The sequence below is a fragment of the Homo sapiens genome, chromosome 3 (genome assembly GCF_000001405.40).
Source record: "Homo sapiens chromosome 3, GRCh38.p14 Primary Assembly".
Classification (NCBI taxonomy): Eukaryota; Metazoa; Chordata; class Mammalia; order Primates; family Hominidae; genus Homo; species Homo sapiens.
The window spans coordinates 123,836,207-123,855,030 of NC_000003.12; the positions used below are offsets into that span (position 1 = coordinate 123,836,207).

Consider the following 18,824-nt stretch of genomic DNA (forward strand, 5'->3'; position numbering starts at 1 on the left):
AGGGCAAAGGAGAAGTTTTCCCTTGCCCCTTCAACTGAAAAGATACAAAAGTATATAGTGAAATGTCTTTCACCCACACCTGCTTCTAGGTACCCAGCTCCTAGGTATCCAGCACCAACTTCTCTTCCAGAATCAGCCATGTAATCACATCTTCTAGAGATATGTTTTGAAAATACATGTATATTTTTATACCCACTTTTTCTTAAATACAAATAATAACATATTATACACACTCTTCTACACCTTGCTTTATTTTGCTTAATATATTTTGGGGGTTATGCCATACCAGAAACATCAAGAAACACTTAGAAGTGTTCTGAGTGTCTGGAAACATACAACACTCCAGGGCATGGGTATCTTTCCTGCAGCTAAGGAGCACCTGGTAGGCTACCACATGATGTTTGTGGATTTCTTAGTGAACCTCCTGTAGGAAAGCTGTACTAAAATTCTCAGTTTGGAGAACTCTCCACAGGCCTACTTGTATTTTGTTTTATAACAGAAGGAGGTAATATGGAAACTCTCAGCCAGGTCATTAAAATTCAACAGTATCACTACCAGATAACACTAGTACCTGGTGGGTCAGGCGTCCAAGGACACATAGTAGAGAGGAGTTTGACCACTAGGTAGAACTCAAAGCATCAGGATGACTTGGAACTTTTAAAATTTATAAGACTAATAACTATAAATTACAAAACACATGGAAACATAAAGACATGGACTAATTAAGAACACTTCCTACTTAATAGAGTCATTTTCCAACACTTAGAATCAAGTATGTAACACGGGACAAAATAATAATTCCTATCCTTCCACCAGCTTCAGTTATAGTAACATTTCTTTTTATTTTTTTGAGACGGAGTTTCGCTCTTGTTGCCCAGGCTGGAGTGCAATGGTGCAGCTCACTGCAACCTCCACCTCCTGGGTTCAAGCAATTCTCCTGCCTCAGCCTCCTGAGTAGCTGGGTTACAGGCATGCACCACCATGCCTGGCTAATTTTGCACTTTTAGTAGACACAGGGTTTTACCATGTTGGTCAGGCTGGTCTCAAACTCCTGACCTCAGGTGATCCACCCCCTTGGCCTCCCAAAGTGCTGGGATTACAGGTATGAGCCACTGTGCCCAGCCTGTAACATTTCCTTCAGAATTATTTTTGTTCTATACACCCTTCAGCACCATCAGTAAGATGTCTTGCTCCTTCCTGATTCTAACCAGAGTTTTATCAATGTAGCCTTTGAACATAAAAGATGAAGTTGTATATATTATATATACATATTATATATAATTATATATTATATATATTACATATAATATATAATTATATAATACATATTTTATATATATATGCTCTATTGAGATATAATTCATATACCATACAATTTAAAGTCTTCAAATCAATGCTTTTTAAGTATAGTCAAAGAGTTGTGCACTGATCACCTCAATGAATTTAGTGCACTTGCATCACCTGTAAAAGAAATGCCATACCTATTCACAGTCACTCCCCATATCCTACCCTAAGGTTTCCCAACCCTAGGCAACCAATAGTCTACTTTCTGTTTCTATGGATTAAGGATGGCTTCAACAGGCTCACAAGCACACTCAACACAACTGGGGAAACAAAATCAGTGATTTTGAAGATGAGTCAACAGAAATTATCCAAACTAAAACACAAAGAAATAAAAGAGTAGGGGGAAAAAAAGAAAACAAAGAATCTAAAAGCTATGGAATAATATCAAATGGTCTAATATGCATATAATTGGAATCTCAGAAAGAGAAGAAATAGAGGATGAGTCAGAAGAAATACTTACATAATAATTAAGCATTTTCCAAAAATAATGAAGGACATCAAACCACAAATCCAAAAATCTCAGAGTACTTCAAGCAGTATAAATACAAACAAAAACAACCAAACACACCTAGGCATATAATCTTCAAGTGGCTGAAAATCAAAGGGAAAGAAACAATCTTAAAGGCAGACAGGGTGAGGGAATACATGAAAGCATACTTCTCATCTGAAAAAGTGCAAACCCAGAAAACAACAAAGGAAATCTTAAAGGTACTGAAAGAAAGAACCCTGTCAATCTGGAATTCCATACTCCTGAAAATATTTCTCAAAAATAAAAGAAAAATACAGACTTTGGAAACTAAATGAAAAGCTGAGAGAATTAATTATTAACAAACTTGCATAATGAGAACTAGAAAGAAACTTCTTCAGGCAGAAGGGATATGTCAGACAGAATTTGAATCCAAACAAATAAACTAAGATCTCCAGAAATGGTTAAAATGAAGGTAAATATATAAGACATTTTTTAAAATGTTTAATTGCTCTAAAAGATGATTGACTTTTTAAAGTAAAAATAGTAGTAATGTACTATGGGTTTATAGGGTATGTAAAAGAAAAATGCATAACAACAACAGCACAAGAGTTGAGAAGAAAGAACTTGGAGTATAATATTCTAAGGTTTTTATACCATACGTGAAGTGATATAATTGGAAGGTAGACTGTGATGAAAGATATATGTTGTAAACACTAGAGCACACACTACATTTTTAAAAAGAAGTATAATGATAAGCCAATAGTGGAGATAAAATGAAATAATAAAAATTCTCAGCTGGATGTGGTGGCTCATGTCTGTAATCCCAGCACTTTGGGAGGCTGAGGCAGGCAGATCAACTGAGGTCAGGAGTTTGAGACCAGCCTGGCCAACATGGTGAAACCCCATCTCTACTAAAAATACAAAAATTAGTCAGGCATGGCGGCACGTGCCTGTAGTCCCAGCTACTTGGGAGGCTGAGGCAGGAGAATTGCCTGAACTTGGGAGGTGGAGGTGGCAGTGAGCAAGACTGTGCCACTGCACTCCAGCCTGGGCAACAGAGCGAGACTCCACCTTAAACAAAACAAAACAAACAAACAAATCTCAATAAATACAAAGGCAAGCAGAAAAAGAGGATAAAAGGGACAAGAAAAAGATGAAACAAAAAATATTTATGGTAGTTTTAATCCAATCATATCAATAATTGCATTAATTATAAATGGCCTAACTACATGAATTAAAGATTGTTAGACTGTATAAAAAAGTAAGACCCAGTTATATGCTATCCACAAAAAAAGCTCACCTTGAATATAAAGACAGAAATGGGTTAAAAATAAAACAATGGGAAAAGATATAAATGTAAGCACTAATCAAAAGAAAACTGAAATGGCTATATTAATATCAAACAAAGCAGATTTCAGGAAAAGGAATATTACCAGGGATAAAGAGAGTAATTTCATAATGATAAAAGGATCAATTCACTAAGGAAATGTAACACTCCTAAATGTGTACACATCTAACACAGGGTTCCAAAATACATTATCCAAAAAGTCTTAGGCCTGAAAGGAGAACTAGGAAAATCCGCAATTGTAGTTAGAGATTTCAACACTCCTCTCTCAGTAATTGATAAAACAAGTACACAGAAAATAAGTAAGAATTTAGAAAGGTGAACACCACTATCAACCAACTTGACTGAATTGACACTTGACCCAACAAATGCAAAATATACATTGTTTTCAAATGCATATGAAAGATTTATCAAGATAGACCATATTCTGGGCTACTAAACAAACCTGAATCAAATTAAAAGAAGTGAGACCACATAGAAATATTCTCTGATCGTTATGAAATTAAACTAAAACTTAGTAACAGGAAGGTATCTAACAAATTCCTAAAATGCTTGCAGATTAAACAACACATTTCCAAATAACTCACAGTTCAAAAAATAAGTCACAATGAATATTAGAAAATATTTCAAATGGAATGGACATAAAAAGGCACAATATGTCAAATTTGGGGGGATGCAGGAAAAGGTCAGAAGAAAATGTGTAGCATTAAGTGCTTATATTAGTAAAGAAGGAAAGTATTAACTCAGTGATCTAAGCTTCCACTTTAGGATAAACTAGAAAAAGAACAAATTAAAACCAAATTTCTCAGAAAGAAGGAAATAATAAAGATAAAAGCAGAAATCAGTAACAATGAAAAGAAAATCAATGAAGCCAAAAGTTTGGTTTTTGGAAAGATCAATAAAATTGGTAAGCCTGTAGGCAGGCTGATCAGGAAAAAAAGAAAGATGGTACAAAAATAAATCTCAGGAATAAAATAGAGAACATCACTACAAATCCTACAGACATTATATATATATATATATATATATGAATCCATATATATAGAACAAGTCTCTCTCTCTATATATATATAAACAAATCTATGTCATAATATAAAAACTTGACAACTTAGATAAAATACAAAAATTCACTGAAAGACACAAACTACCAAAATTCCCACAAGAAGAAATAGAGAACCTCAATTAAAGAAATTTTATGAGAGCAACATTACTTGATATGAAAATAAGATAAAGACATTATAAAAAAAACCATGGAACAATATTCTTCATAAATATAAACACAAAAATCCTCAACAAAATAATGGCAAATCAAATTCAGCAATATATTTTGAAAAAAATATATTATTATTCTGTGTGGTTTATCCTGAAAATGTAAGGCTGGTTCAACAACTGAAAATCAGTGTAATTTACAGTATCAACTTAGTGACAAAGAAAAAAACTACATAATCATTTTATTTAGATATTTAAAAATCAGACAAAATTCCGTTTTCATTCATGGTTCTGGGCAACTGCTTTAGTCTGAATGCAAAAAACTGGAATTCCTTGTTTTAAAAAGGCAAAAGTTTCTTGGGGATCCAGAAGTCCTCTTATGAGACAGGTCTCAGGTAATGTTAGAAGATGGAGTACGAAGAAACAGATACATGGTGGAGACTTCAAACATATAATGAAATTATATTCATGATATGCTGTTCCAGAAAGAGCTTGTTACATATAGGCAGATTTCTATTGAATAAAAGAGGAGCTTCTTACTACCGGACCTCTGGACAAAGGCAGCAGCTTCATATTTCAGGTGGTAGATTCTTAAAACCACAAGTGTTCAAAAGGTCCTGGACAACTATCTGTGAAGGATGCTATGAAAGGTCTCCTATCTTAGATGGGAGTATAGACTTGATGAATTAAAAGTTCTTCCTAGTGCTATAAAATAGTAGAGACAGAAAATCCAGTTGGCCTAACTAATGTTTATTAAGAGCTTGGTAAGGAAATATGAGATTAATCTATATTTTAAAAGTCATATTGCCTATCTTTACATAGTTTACACTAATAATTTAGTAGAGATGTATATTTCTATGGAATACCTTGTAAAAATATTTTTCTGTATATCCCTTTCTCCCTGCTTCTCACTCTAAAGAAGCTGATAAGTGATAGCTTAGTCCTTGCCTCATTAATACCTTCAACCACTCATTTTCTGTCAGTTCCTTTTTTTCCGTCTTCAGACATCCTCTCTTAAAAATACCAACAATGAGACCTACTCCCTTTTCTAGCTACCATCATATTTCTAGCCTTTCTTTCCACTCATATGTTTTCAATGAGTCATCAACATCTCCTGCCACAATTTCCTTTCCACCCACTCCCTCTTTAACCCCCTACAATCAATCCAGTTCTTTTATACACCACCTACAAGGTCAGAATGCTAGGGTTTAGAGAGTCTGAGAGTGTCAGGAAGATATAACATTTGTACCCAAGGAGCTAATCAGAAAAAATCTACTTAAATCATCCAAATATCCACTAGGAAGAGACTAGAGACAGGGGTTAAAAAAGAGAACTAACATTTATTAGGTATCTTCTGGTATACTGTTGTGGTAGATTATCTCCCATCATGGCCATCAGCAATTCATCCATCCAGGTATACTCATGTCTCTCCAACTCTAACTTTATCAGAAATCACAATAAATATAAATGGACCAAATTCACCCATTAAAAGACAGATAAAATATTATTATACAATATTATATACAATATCTATCTATATCTGTAGCTATATATTCCACCTATATACTATTCATAAGATGAACCTAGAAAACACAAAGGCATTGAAAATAATAAATGAAAAAATAAGTTAGGCAAAAACTAACCATAAAAGAGTTGGAATAAGTAAATTAATATCAGACAAAAGACTTTAATATAATTAATCAGAAAGAGAATCACTATATAATAATAACAGAAGTGAGATAAAGAGGTAGAGAATACCCCTGGCATCATCAGTTTTAGAAATGGGGGTCTAGTAACTATCTCCAATATCACAGCTCAGAATCAGGCCAATTCTGCTCAATTTAATCCAATCTCACAATTATTTGTGTGAAAACTCCCAAATTTGTCACCATGGGCAAAAAAGCTTAATCTAATAGACATATATAGAACCCTATGCCTGATAATTACAAAATATGCATTACTCTTTTCAAACACATAGAAAATATTTTCAAAAATTAAACTGCAAAAGGCTATAATGCAAGTCTCAACAAATTCCAAAGAATCATATAGTCAATAACAAAAAACAAGATCAACTTGTCTGTTCATTTCCTCTGCCAATATCTTATCTCTCTGAAACTGCCTTATTCATTTGTACTTCTCTTTTGACATTGTTCATAGACATTGTGTCCATTTATGCAACACATTTGTATTAAATACTTACATACCAGTCAGTGTTCTAAGCATAGGGGATACATTAATGAACAAAGCAAAATAGACAAAGATCTCTCCTTTGAGGTGCTTACATTTCTAGCGTCACTTCTATCACTAGACTGCAAGTGCCCTAAGGCAAGACTATGTCTAATCCAGATTTGGCTAGCTCCCAATGTGCTGCTGGGACGGACACCATGTCGGATCTGACAAGGTACAGAACCCACACACTCTGATATTTAAGACAGAGGGCTTGCTGAGGCTTAAGGTATGATCTTCGGATAGTGTGGAATACAGCTTATCAGGCAGGGACCTAGAACCAGAAGGAGTAACAGACTCAACACACCCCTCACAACTCCCGTATCAGTAATTCAATAGCTCAAGTCTCAGCAGTCCATGGGTCAAAGCAAACTGAAGTCTAAACCATGTTGTCAAAGCAAAGATGCCGAAGACCAGATGTCAAAAATACTGGAAACAATGAAATCAGACAGATTAGGAGAAATAATCATATATTTTAATATGTCCTTGCAAATTGGGGCACAGTTTAAAGAGGCCAGATAAGCCAAGTGACTAGTGACCACATCTCACAGGTCTGTCTGGTTGTAAGGGCCCTTTCATCCTTCCTCTATGAGATAAGAATGAACATCCAGGTCTAAGAGCATCCAAGCTAGGGAGCAGGACAAGGAGACTATATATGTAGCTTGCTTCAAACAGATTCATGTTCTAATAGGAATAAAGGTAAGGTGGCTGGCTTTACAGAAAACTCTGCTACATTCCAGAATGGCAAGTTAACAGGCAGCATAACCAAGAAAAGGGCCTGAAAAAGAGAGATGCCTCCAACTTCTGACACAGGTTTAAAAGAAGACTGGTTCCTTCTGCAGAGACACATCCCTTTCCAAAGGCCGTATCAGTCCAGAGAGAAAGACCAAAACAAAAGCCCCACAGCAAGAAACAGGAAGGAAGGGGAACTATTCAAATTCCCTGCCCCTCTCCTCCATAGCACACAATAGCTGGGACCTCTACTGGGGCATCATAGCTCCAAAGGAATCCTTCTGACATGGTGTTTTCTGTTTTTTAAGCCTCTGTTTGAGCACTGTCACTATGGCAACAAGGCTGGGATGCTTCTGCTCTAAGTGAGAGGGCTTATCCCTTCAAATATGCTTCTTGAGTCAGCAACAAAGGAACTCACTGAACCTCAACTAATCTCATATTCTCCTTGGAGACCTCTCTTAAAAGGCATTTTCCCTCCTTGCTCCCACAAATCTTCTAGGTTTATGCTCTGTGTTCAGCCAACAACCACATTCACATAATGATTGAGTTTACTCTCACACACCTATCTCGACCAAGCTCTGAGGTGTCCTCTTTAGTCACATAAGCCTCTCCCATACCTATTAAACAGAGACAAAGCAAGGACCTTGGTTTGGGGGAGGCCTCCCAGGAAGGCTAGTGGACATGGGCCCCCAAGCTAGGATGGAACAGAGGAATGAGGGGTAGGAGGAGCAGGAAGCCAACTTGTATAACTTTCTTTTCCAGAGGGAGGAATCCATGGTGGCATGTAGCCCTGGCAGGCCTGATCCTCACCACCTGGATCTGTCCTCAACCTGTCCTAGGCTAGCTGCTCTGTCTTGGCTCAGGTTCCACATCATTCCCAGCCACAGCTCTTTCAAGAGTAAAAGTTGGCTCTGGGGAATACATCCTCCCTGCCTTCAGAGGGGTCTTCCTTAGTCATGAGTTCTTAGAATCCTAAAATATAGGCCTACCTCTTATTAGTTTTATTACCTTAGGGAAGTCACTTAACCTTTCTAAGCCTGTTAACTCATCTTAAGACAGGAGCAATTGACCACTCCATCGGGTTGTGATAAAGACGGAGGGGCAGGCATACATTCTACAACTCTTAGTTCTGTCTGCACCCAGCCCACTCTTCCCTCAGAAGCAGACAGTGTCTAATCTTAGGAAGGTCTGTAAGCACAGAGAAAAAAAGATGCACCAACCTCACCTTGATAACTCCAGCTCCAGTGTGTGTCACCATTTCTGGGTAATATATAACTCTTCTCCTCAGTTGTTTTTTTTTTTTTTTTTTTTTTTTTAAAGACAGGATCTTGCTATGTTGCCCAAGCTAGCATGCAGTGGCTATTCACAGGTACAATCATAGTGCACTGTAGCCTTGAACTCCTGGCCTCAAGCAATCCTCCTGCCTCAGCCACCTCAGTAGCTGGCACTGCAGGCATGAGCCACAGTGCCTGACCTCTCCACTAGTTTTCAAAGCAAACAAACAAATAAGAGAGGGTATTCAGTCTCTTTTGCCTTTATTGTAAGAGACAATGAGGTGACAGCAAAGATAATTCTAGGAAGCAAACTTCTGGGTTCTAGTCCTTTTTGCTCACTGAGTTCCTCAGCCTATCCTCCAGAGGACTGACCTCCCTGTGGAAAGGGGCTGCACAGGGCACTCTGTTAGGGTCCATTCCAACTCTAAGATCTCTGGGTCTTAGGTGAGTACCAAATGACCCATGAAATTGGAATAAAGAAGACTTTGCAGAGAGACTGGTACCCTCTAGGAGTGTCCTAAAACAGGGCAGATGAGACATGCAGGACACAAAGACTAGAAGCATCATTTATACCCAGGAAATATTTACCGCAAGGACATGTCAGGAGTCCATCCACCTCAGGGACAGAGTTCAAAGTTGACAATGCTGGGGAAATAGACATGAGCACCTTTTGGGTTTTCGTTTTGTTTTGTTTTGTTTTTTTGAGACAAGGTCTCACTCTGTTGCTCAGGTTGGAGTGCAGTGGTGCAGTCACAGCTCACTGCAGCCTCAAACTCCTGGGCTCAAGCAATCCATCTGCCGTAGCCTCCCAAGTAGCCAGGACTACAAGTACACACCACCATGCCCAGCTATATTTTTTTATTTTTTAGAGACAGGGTCTTGCTCTGTAGCGCAGGCTGGAGTACAATGGCAATCATAGCTAACTGCAGGCTCAGATTCCTGGACTCAAGCAATCCACCCATCTCAGCCTCCCAAATAGCTAGGACTACAGCTACACACTTCTATGCCCAGCTAATTCAAGCCATTAAAAAATTCCACCACCTCCCCACTGTTTAAAATAAATGTTTTATTTGGGAATAACATTATATTCTTAGAAAAATTTCAGACATGATACAGAGTCCCTGGTACTCTTCACTCTGTTTCCCCTAATGTTAATCTATTACATCACCATGGTACATTTTTCAAAACTAAGAAACCAGACTTTATTTGGATTTCACCAGTTTTTTAACTGATGTTATTTTTATGTTCCAGGATCTAATCCAAGATACCTCATTGCATTTAGGATAAAGCACTTTTTAATGGTGAAAGATTTCTATCATAGCGACAAAACGGATTCTTGATTAAAAGAACATCAGATACATTTGTGTCTCTTTGGGAACCCTTTCTTCCCATTTCCATGTCTGTTCCTCCCGTAAGAACCATTATAAACTCATTGTTTTATCATTCCCAGACATGTTTGTGTGAATGCACAGAAAGACAGTATAAGCACAAACACTGTATATATAGTGTTGTTTTCCAGGCTTTAAAACGCATATAAACACTATTCTTTTCATATCCTCCTGTAACTTGCTTCTTTCATTCAATGTTGTTTTTGAGATTGATCTCTTAAGAAATATAACTATAGTTCTTTTACTGCTATATATAGTATGCATAATATTTCATTCATTTTCCTACTGGTGGAAATTTGGACTGTTTCCCATTTTTTGCTGCAATGAACACTTTAATATTAAACGTCTACTCAGGTACACAAGAAAGATTCTCCATCTAGGACCGAAATTCCTGGGTGTAAAGGGTATAACCAAATTGTTTCCTAAAGCTGTAGTACCGTCCTTCCAGCAGCGTAGGAGACTGTCATTCCATATGCTCATCCATACTAAGAAGTACATTTAACTTATGAATTAATTTGTGGAGAACTGGCACCTTTATAATGAATCTTCCAGTTTATCAATATAGCCCTTTTCTCCATTTATTAAGGATCTCTTTTTTTTTTCCTTTCAACAACTGTAATTTTCTTCATAAATATTCTTGTGTACTTTTTGGTTAGGTGTACTCCTGGGTATATTATGGCTTTTGTTACTGCTGAAAATGGGATCCTTTATCTATTAATTTTTCTAATTGGTTATTCCTGGTAAATAGTACTTTAATATGTTGATACTGTATTTATGGAACTTGGAATTCTTACAGTATACAGTTGGTTCTCTATATCCATGGGTTCTGCACCCACGGCTTCAACCAACTGCAAATCCAAAATATATTTTTTAAAAATCTAATAAAAATAACAACACAACAATAAAAATAATACAAATAAAAAATACAGTATAACAACTATTTACATAGCCTTTACATAGTATTGGGTATTACATATAATCTAAAGATGATTTACAGTATACAGCAGGATACATGTAGACTATATGCAAATACTATACCATTTTATATAAGGGACTTGAGCATCCACAGATTTTGACACCCAAGGGAGGTCCTGGAACCAATCTCCCATGGATAGTGAGGGATGACTGTATCTTCCACTTAAAAATCCCAAGAAAATCTTATTGGTATGCAAGTAAGAACATTTTAATCTTTATCTTCAATATTCACATTTTTCTTGTCCTATTGCATTGGCTAGAACCTCCTGTACAATGCTGAATATAGCAATAAAGGGCATTCTTGTCTTTTTTATGACTTTATTGAAAGCGAGCCTGATGTTACTGTGTATTGTTAAGGATTGTTTTTTGCTGTACTATTTTGATAGATGTTCTTTACCAAGTTAAGGAAGTTCTCTTCTATTCTTAGTTTTCTGAGAAGTTTGCCTCAATTGTGAATGAGTGCTAAATTCTGACTAATGTTTTTTCTGTATGTAATAGATTATAGGCATTATTAATCTGTTAATATTCTTTATGACATTAATATATTTTCTAATGTTGAATCATCCTTCTATTCCTTTCACAAACTCTACTTAATCAGAATGTAAATATTTGAAATAGATTTGTAAATATTTCATAAGCATTTATATTTATAAATAAAACTGGCCCACAATTTTCCTTTCTTGTGTTCTTCTTGTCTTATTTGGATATTTAAGTTATACTATCATTATTTTAAAAAGACAGCTTTTCCCCAGTTTCTATCCTCTTAGACAGTTTGCACAATATTAGGATTATTTACTTCTTGGAGTTCTACATGCAAAAAACCATTTAAGCCTTATATTTTTGGGAGAAGAAGTCTCTTAACTATCAGTTTAAATTCTTTATAATTGTTATTTTACTGCAGTTTTCTATATCTTTTGAAGTAGTTATGGCAAATTATATTTGCCCAGAAAGTTACCCATGTGTCCTCCTAATCCAAATTTTAACATAAAAATTTTCAGAGTATAGGTTTTTGATGTTTATTATCAATTTCATATCAGGAGTTATATTTCCATTTCATTCAAAATATTATTTGTGGGTCTTATTTTGAAAAAAAAAAAGCCTTACTAGGGTTTTATCTATATCACTTTTTTAATCCTCCAAATGACATTCTATTTCATTTGTCTTCCTTTGTTTCCTTCCTTCTACTTTTCCAAAGGTTTCTTTAGGATTTTTTTTCTAGCTTCTTGAGTAGGATATATATAGTAGACAACAATAATTGCTTACACAATATTTATAATATTCTCCCTTGTTCCGTACTAACATACCCTTATTTGGTTTGGGAAGGCAATACACCATGCTAAAATAAAAAAAAACACTATACTTCCCTGGCTCCCTTGCAGCTAGGAACTGCCAAATGACACAGTTCTAACCAATGACATATAAGTGAAAGTTATTACATAGGGCTTCCAAGAAAGCTCTCTAATTAAAGGTAGCCAACTCACTTGGCACATGCCTTTTTCAAAACCTGTCCTTTCTCCATCATGCTTGGAATGTGAATGCTAAACTGGAAGTAAAGCAGCCATTTTGCAACCATGAGGCAGCAAGCATGAGTATGAAAATTATGTTTAGATGACTGGATGTTAAAAGAGCCCAGGACCCTGATGGCATAATGGAGAATCCATATTTGCCTTGGACTACCTCGAAACTTCTTGTTATATGGCAAATGTTAAACCCCTAGGTCATTAAAGCCATGGTCATTTAGATTATCTTTTAAATATAGCCAAATAAAATTTATAGTAATACCTATTCAACATGTTATCCTTTTCTTTTTGGTAGGAATTGAGGGCAGATGGGGTCTCGCTCTGTTGCCCAACCTGGAGTTCAGTGGCATGATCACAGCACACTGTAGCCTCAGCCTCCCAGACTCAAGATATCCTCCCACCTCAGCCTACTGAGTAGCTGGGACTACAGGCCCGCGTCACTACACCCGGATAATTTTTGTATTTTTTGTGGAGGCAGGGTGTCGCCATGTTGCTCAGGCTGGTCTCAAATTTCTGAGCTCAAGTGATCCACACCTTGGCCTCCTAAAGTGCTTGGATTATAGCTATGATCCACCATGCCTGACCTCAACTTATTTTTCATATGTTAAATGTTTCATAAATGCATTTAAGGCCATAAATTTTCCTCAAAGAATAGCTTTAGTTGCATGTAGTTAAGAGATCAGTTGTGCTGGTCCAGATCAGAAATACTACCTAGCCAACCCAAAGAATTGTGATATAAATAAAAATAGCTATGGTTTAAGTCTCTAAATTTTGGGGTGGTTTATTATATAGTAAAAGCTAACTGATACAGCAGTTGCTTTCAAATGTGGGGTGGTGCCATAAGAAAAATTATAACATGTGGTACTGGCTTTGAAATAATGGCTTTTCTAGTGGTGAGAAAAGCAGTAAGAAAACAGTTTGCCGGAGAAATGGAGAAGAAACTGCTATAGCAGGCTGGCAAAATGATGGCTCGTGTTGGGTTGAGACAGAACAACTGGTGAAACTAAAGCTTGCAGTAACTTAAGAGATTTTCTTTTTTTTTCTGAGTACATTTATTCATTTTTTTTTATTATACTTTAAGTTCTAGGGTACATGTGCACAACGTGCAGGTTCGTTACATATGTATACATGTGCCCTGTTGGTGTGCTGCACCCATTAACTCATCATTTACATTAGGTATATCTCCTAATGCTATCCCTCTCCCCTCCCCACACCCTACAACAGGGCCCAGTGTGTGATGTTCCCCTTCCTGTGTCCAAGTGTTCTCATTGTTCAATTCCCACCTATGAGCGAGAATATGCGGTGTTTGGTTTTTTGTCCTTGCGATAGTTTGCTGAGAAGGATGGTTTCCCGCTTCATCCATGTCCCTACAAAGGACATAAACTCATCCTTTTTTATGGCTGCATAGTATTCCATGGTGTATATGTGCCACATTTTCTTAATCCAGTCTATCATTGTTGGACATTTGGGTTGGTTCCAAGTCTTTGCTATTGTGAATAGTGTTGCAGTAAACATATGTGTGCATGTGTCTTTATAGCAGCATGATTTATCATCCTTTGGGTATATACCGAGTAATGGGATGGCTGGGTGAAATAGTATTTCTAATTCTAGATCCTTGAGTAATTGCCACACTGTCTTCCACAATGGTTGAACTAGTTTACAATCCCACCAACAGTGTAAAAGTGTTCCTATTTCTCCACATCCTCTCTAGCACCTGTTGTTTCTTGACTTTTTAATGATCGCCATTCTAACTGGTGTGAGATGGTATCTCATTGCGGTTTTGATTTGCATTTCTCTGATGGCCAGTGATGATGAGCATTTTTTCATTTGTCTTTTGGCTGCATAAATGTCTTCTTTTGAGAAGTGTCTGTTCATATCCTTTGCCCACTTTTTGATGGGGTTGTTTGTTTTTTTCTTGTAAATTTGTTTGAGTTCTTTGTAGATTCTGGATATTAGCCCTTTGTCAGATGAGTAAATTGCAAAAATTTTCTCCCATTCTGTAGATTGCCTGTTCACTCTGATGGTAGTTTCTTTTGCTGTGAAGAAGCTCTTTAGTTTAATTAGATCCCATTTGTCAATTTTGGCTTTTGTTGCCACTGCTTTTGGTGTTTTAGACATGAAGTCCTTACCCAGGCCTATGTCCTGAATGGTATTGCCTAGGTTTTCTTCTAGGGTTTTTATGGTTTTAGGTCTAACATTTAAGTCTTTAATCCATCTTGAATTAATTTTTGTATAAGGTGTAAGGAGGGGATCCAGTTTCAGCTTTCTACATACGGCTAGCCAGTTTTCCCAAAACCATTTATTGCATAGGGAATACTTTCCCCATTTCTGGTTTTTGTCAGTTTTGACAAAGATCAGATGGTTGTAGACGTGTGGTATTATTTCTGAGGGCTCTGTTTTGTTCCATTGGTCTATATCTCTGTTTTGGTACCAGTACCATGCTGTTTTGGTTACTGTCGCCTTGTAGTACAGTTTGAAGTCAGGTAGCGTGATGCCTCCAGCTTTGTTCTTTTGGCTTAGGATTGTCTTGGCAATGTGGGCTCTTTTTTGGTTCCATATGAACTTTAAAGTAGTTTTTTCCAATTCTGTGAAGAAAGTCCTTGGTAGCTTGATGGGGATGGCCTGAATCTATAAATTACCTTGGGCAGTATGGCCAGTTTCATGATATTGATTCTTCCTACCCATAAGCATGGAAGGTCCTTCCATTTGTTTGTGTCCTCTTTTATTTCGTTGAGCAGTGGTTTGTAGTTCTCCTTGAAGAGGTCCTTCACATCCCCTGTAAGTTGGATTCCTAGGTATTTTATTCTCTTTGAAGCAATTGTGAATGGGAGTTCACTGATGATTTGCCTCTCTGTTTGTCTGTTATTGCTGTATAAGAATGCTTGTGATTTTTGCACATTGATTTTGTATCCTAAGACTTTGCTAAAGTTGCTTATCAGCTTAAGGAGATTTTGGGCTGAGACGATGGGGTTTTCTACATATACAATCATGTCATCTGCAAACAGGGACAATTTGACTTCCTCTTTTCCTAATTGAATACCCTTTATTTCTTTCTCCTGCCTGATTGCCCTGGCCAGAACTTCCAACACTATCTTGAATAGGAGTGGTGAGAGAGGGCATCCCTGTCTTGTGCCAGTTTTCAAAAGGAATGCTTCCAGTTTTTGCCCATTCAGTATGATATTGGCTGTGGGTTTGTCATAAATAGCTCTTATTATTTTGAGATACATCCAATCAATACCTAAATTACTGAGAGTTTTTAGCATGAAGGGCTGTAGAATTTTGTCAAAGGCCTTTTCTGCATCTATTGAGATAATCATGTGGTTTTTGTCTTTGGTTCTGTTAATAGGCTGGATTACGTTTATTGATTTGCGTATGTTGAACCAGCCTTGCATCTCAGGGATGAAGCCCACTTGATCATGGTGGATAAGCTTTTTGATGTGCTGCTGGATTCAGTTTGCCAGTATTTTATTGAGGATTTTTACATCAATGTTCATCAAGGATAGTGGTCTAAAATTCTCTTTTTTGTTGTGTCTCTGCCAGGCTTTGGTATCAGGATGATGCTGGCCTCATAAAATGAGTTAGGGAGGATTCCCTCTTTTTCTATTGATTGGAATGGTACCAGCTCCTCCTTGTACCTCTGGTAGAATTCGGCTGTGAATCCGTCTGGTCCTGGACTTTTTTTGGTTGGTAGGCTATTAATTATTGCCTCAATTTCAGAGCCTGTTATTGGTCTATTCAGGGATTCAACTTCTGCCTGGTTTAGTCTTGGAAGGGTGTATGTGTCCAGGAATTTATCCATTTCTTCTAGATTTTCTAGTTTATTTGTGTAGAGGTGTTTATAGTATTCTCTGATGATAGTTTGTATTTCTGTGGGATCGGTGGTGATATCCCCTTTATCATTTTTTATTGTGTCTATTTGATTCTTCTCTCTTTTCTTCTTTATTAGTCTCGCTAGCGGTCTATCAATTTTGCTGATCTTTTCAAAAAACCAGCTCCTGAGATTTTCAAAAAGAAAAGACCCTAGTGAACTCCTAGTTGCAGCTAAGTAGATCTCCAGACAGAATTTCGAAAGTGTCATTTAGGAGCTCTTAACTGCATATGCTAAAGTATGGCAAGACAAAGGTGAGCTAAAGAAGGAAATGTTCAGTTTGCAACCAGAATTTAGATGGAATATAGAAGGTCCAGGATTTGCGGTGTTGGAAAATAAAACTGTACCTCGTCTCCAGTCTCCCCATATTTGACAACCTTTGAGTAAAATATTCTCAGAGTAAAAGGAGGCCTTAAAAGAGCAAATTAAGAGTTGGGTTGTATGACCATTTGTTAAGGCCTCTGAAGGATTTAAGAAAGTGCCTAGCACACCTTATCTTGTCAAAAAAGCTCCTAAGAATCTTAAGGGCCTGACAGAAGCCTAATCCCAAGTCACCGAATAACTCTAGAGAGAAAAAAAAAAATTGTGGGTGTAGTTTTTATACAATGAGTTGGGCTATATCCTATTACATAGAAAGCCCACAATATTTTAAAGAAAATCATCCCAACAAAACACCATCAGCTTGGACTGGAAGGGACTAAAATTGATTAAGCCACAAAGAGGTCTCTGGGCCCTCAACTATGGAAAGAAAGACAGATGAGAGAGGGACTCAGCTGCACTATTTCTTATGGAAAAGGAAAGGCTTTTTAAGGGGGAGAACCAAGATACTAGAGAATGGAGTCAAGAGCCTTGGAGAACAACAAACTGGGAAGACACCCCAGAGAGCAGAAGCAATGGTCCTAGATTAGATGACCTGGCAACATTTGCCCCAGGGGAATTTTGATTTGTTACAGACCAGTAACTGCTATGTGCCTTTTGTTTTTCTCCTTTTTGAAGAGAAATGTCTATTCCAGTTATCCTGCCCGTCTCACCACTATATGATGGAGGTGTAGGGAGCAGGTGACTTGTCATTTTAAATTCTGGATCAAGAGCTGCCGTACCCAAGGAGCTACAGCTGAGGACCCTCTTTCATATCTGAATGTGATAAAATCATGAGATCATAGACTTCCAACCTGATGCTATAAATAAGACAGAGAGCTTAGGATAAGGATGAGCATATTTTGCATGCATGAGAAATGAGGCCAAAGAGCAGACTCTGATAGATTCCAAAAACACCCATAAATTATTTTACTTCTGTCAAGATGTGGAGTCTATTTCTCTCCCCATTGAATCCAGGCTTGGCAATGTGACATGCTTTGACTAACAGGACATTAGCACATATAACATAAGCAGAGGCTTAAAAAGTTTTTGGACAGTTAAATGCTTCTCTCTTGCTGCATTTGGAAACCTGGGTCTACCATGTGAATACCCCAAGGTAGCCTGCTGGAAGATGAGAAGCAATTTGGAAGAGAACTAAGACATCCAAGGATCAGACAGTCAACTTCCAGACATGTGAGTGAGGCTATCCTAGATCATCTAGTCGCCGGCTGACCATAGAGGCATGATAGAGTCCAATCAAGATCTGCTGAGCTGGCCCAGATTTAAAAATTGCCCAACCAACCCAAAGAATTGGAAGCTAAATAAGATAATGTTTATTTTGGGCCACTGAGTTTAGTAATGTAGCCTAACCCTCTGGGTACAATTGATGACTATAGTTTTTTCTTAAAAAATCTATAATTATTATCTTCCTGACTCTGAATATGGCTTTAACATTTTCCCCCAAAAAATCTGCACCATCTTGCTATTGTTGCCTAGTCTTCATTTTAATCATGTTTTTCAAACCATACACACTTATGAATTTTTTGCATAGCTAACAAATAAATATAAATATATTTTATCAATTTCTATGTTTACCATTGCCTCTTACATTGTACATATTTTCTCACTGTTTAATTTTTTCTTTCCAAAACATATCCTTTATGGGAACAATAGACACTGGTGACTCCAAAAGGAGGGGGAGGGGCAAGGGCTGAAAAACCTCCTATTGGATACAGTGTTTCCTATCTGTGGGTGATGGGATCAATAGAAGCCCAAACCTTAGCATCTCACAATATATTCTTGTAATTTGCACGTGTACCCACTGAATCTAAAATAGAAATGGGAATTAAAAAGAAACAAACACTCAAAATATATCCTTTAATAGTTATTTCAGTGAGCATCTTTGTATTTATATTCTTGGTCTTTGTTTTGCTCTCATTCTCCTGGGATAGTTTATCTAGGTATAGTATTTTAGGGTCAACACAGAAAAGTTACTCCTCTGTCTTCTTACCTCTCTTGTTGCTGATGAAATACCTGTCAGTCTGTCATTTATTTATACATAACTTGTATTTTTATTTTGGATTTTTAAGTTGCTCTTTTTTCTCTTTTCTGAAGAG

At 37.0% G+C, this 18,824-nt stretch overlaps 1 protein-coding gene across 9 annotated transcripts in view; it reads right to left on the minus strand.

Annotated features, from left to right (window-relative positions):
• The window catches only part of MYLK (myosin light chain kinase), a 274,284-nt gene that overhangs the window by 226,158 nt on the left and 29,302 nt on the right, over positions 1-18,824 (minus strand). The window lies entirely within an intron of this gene.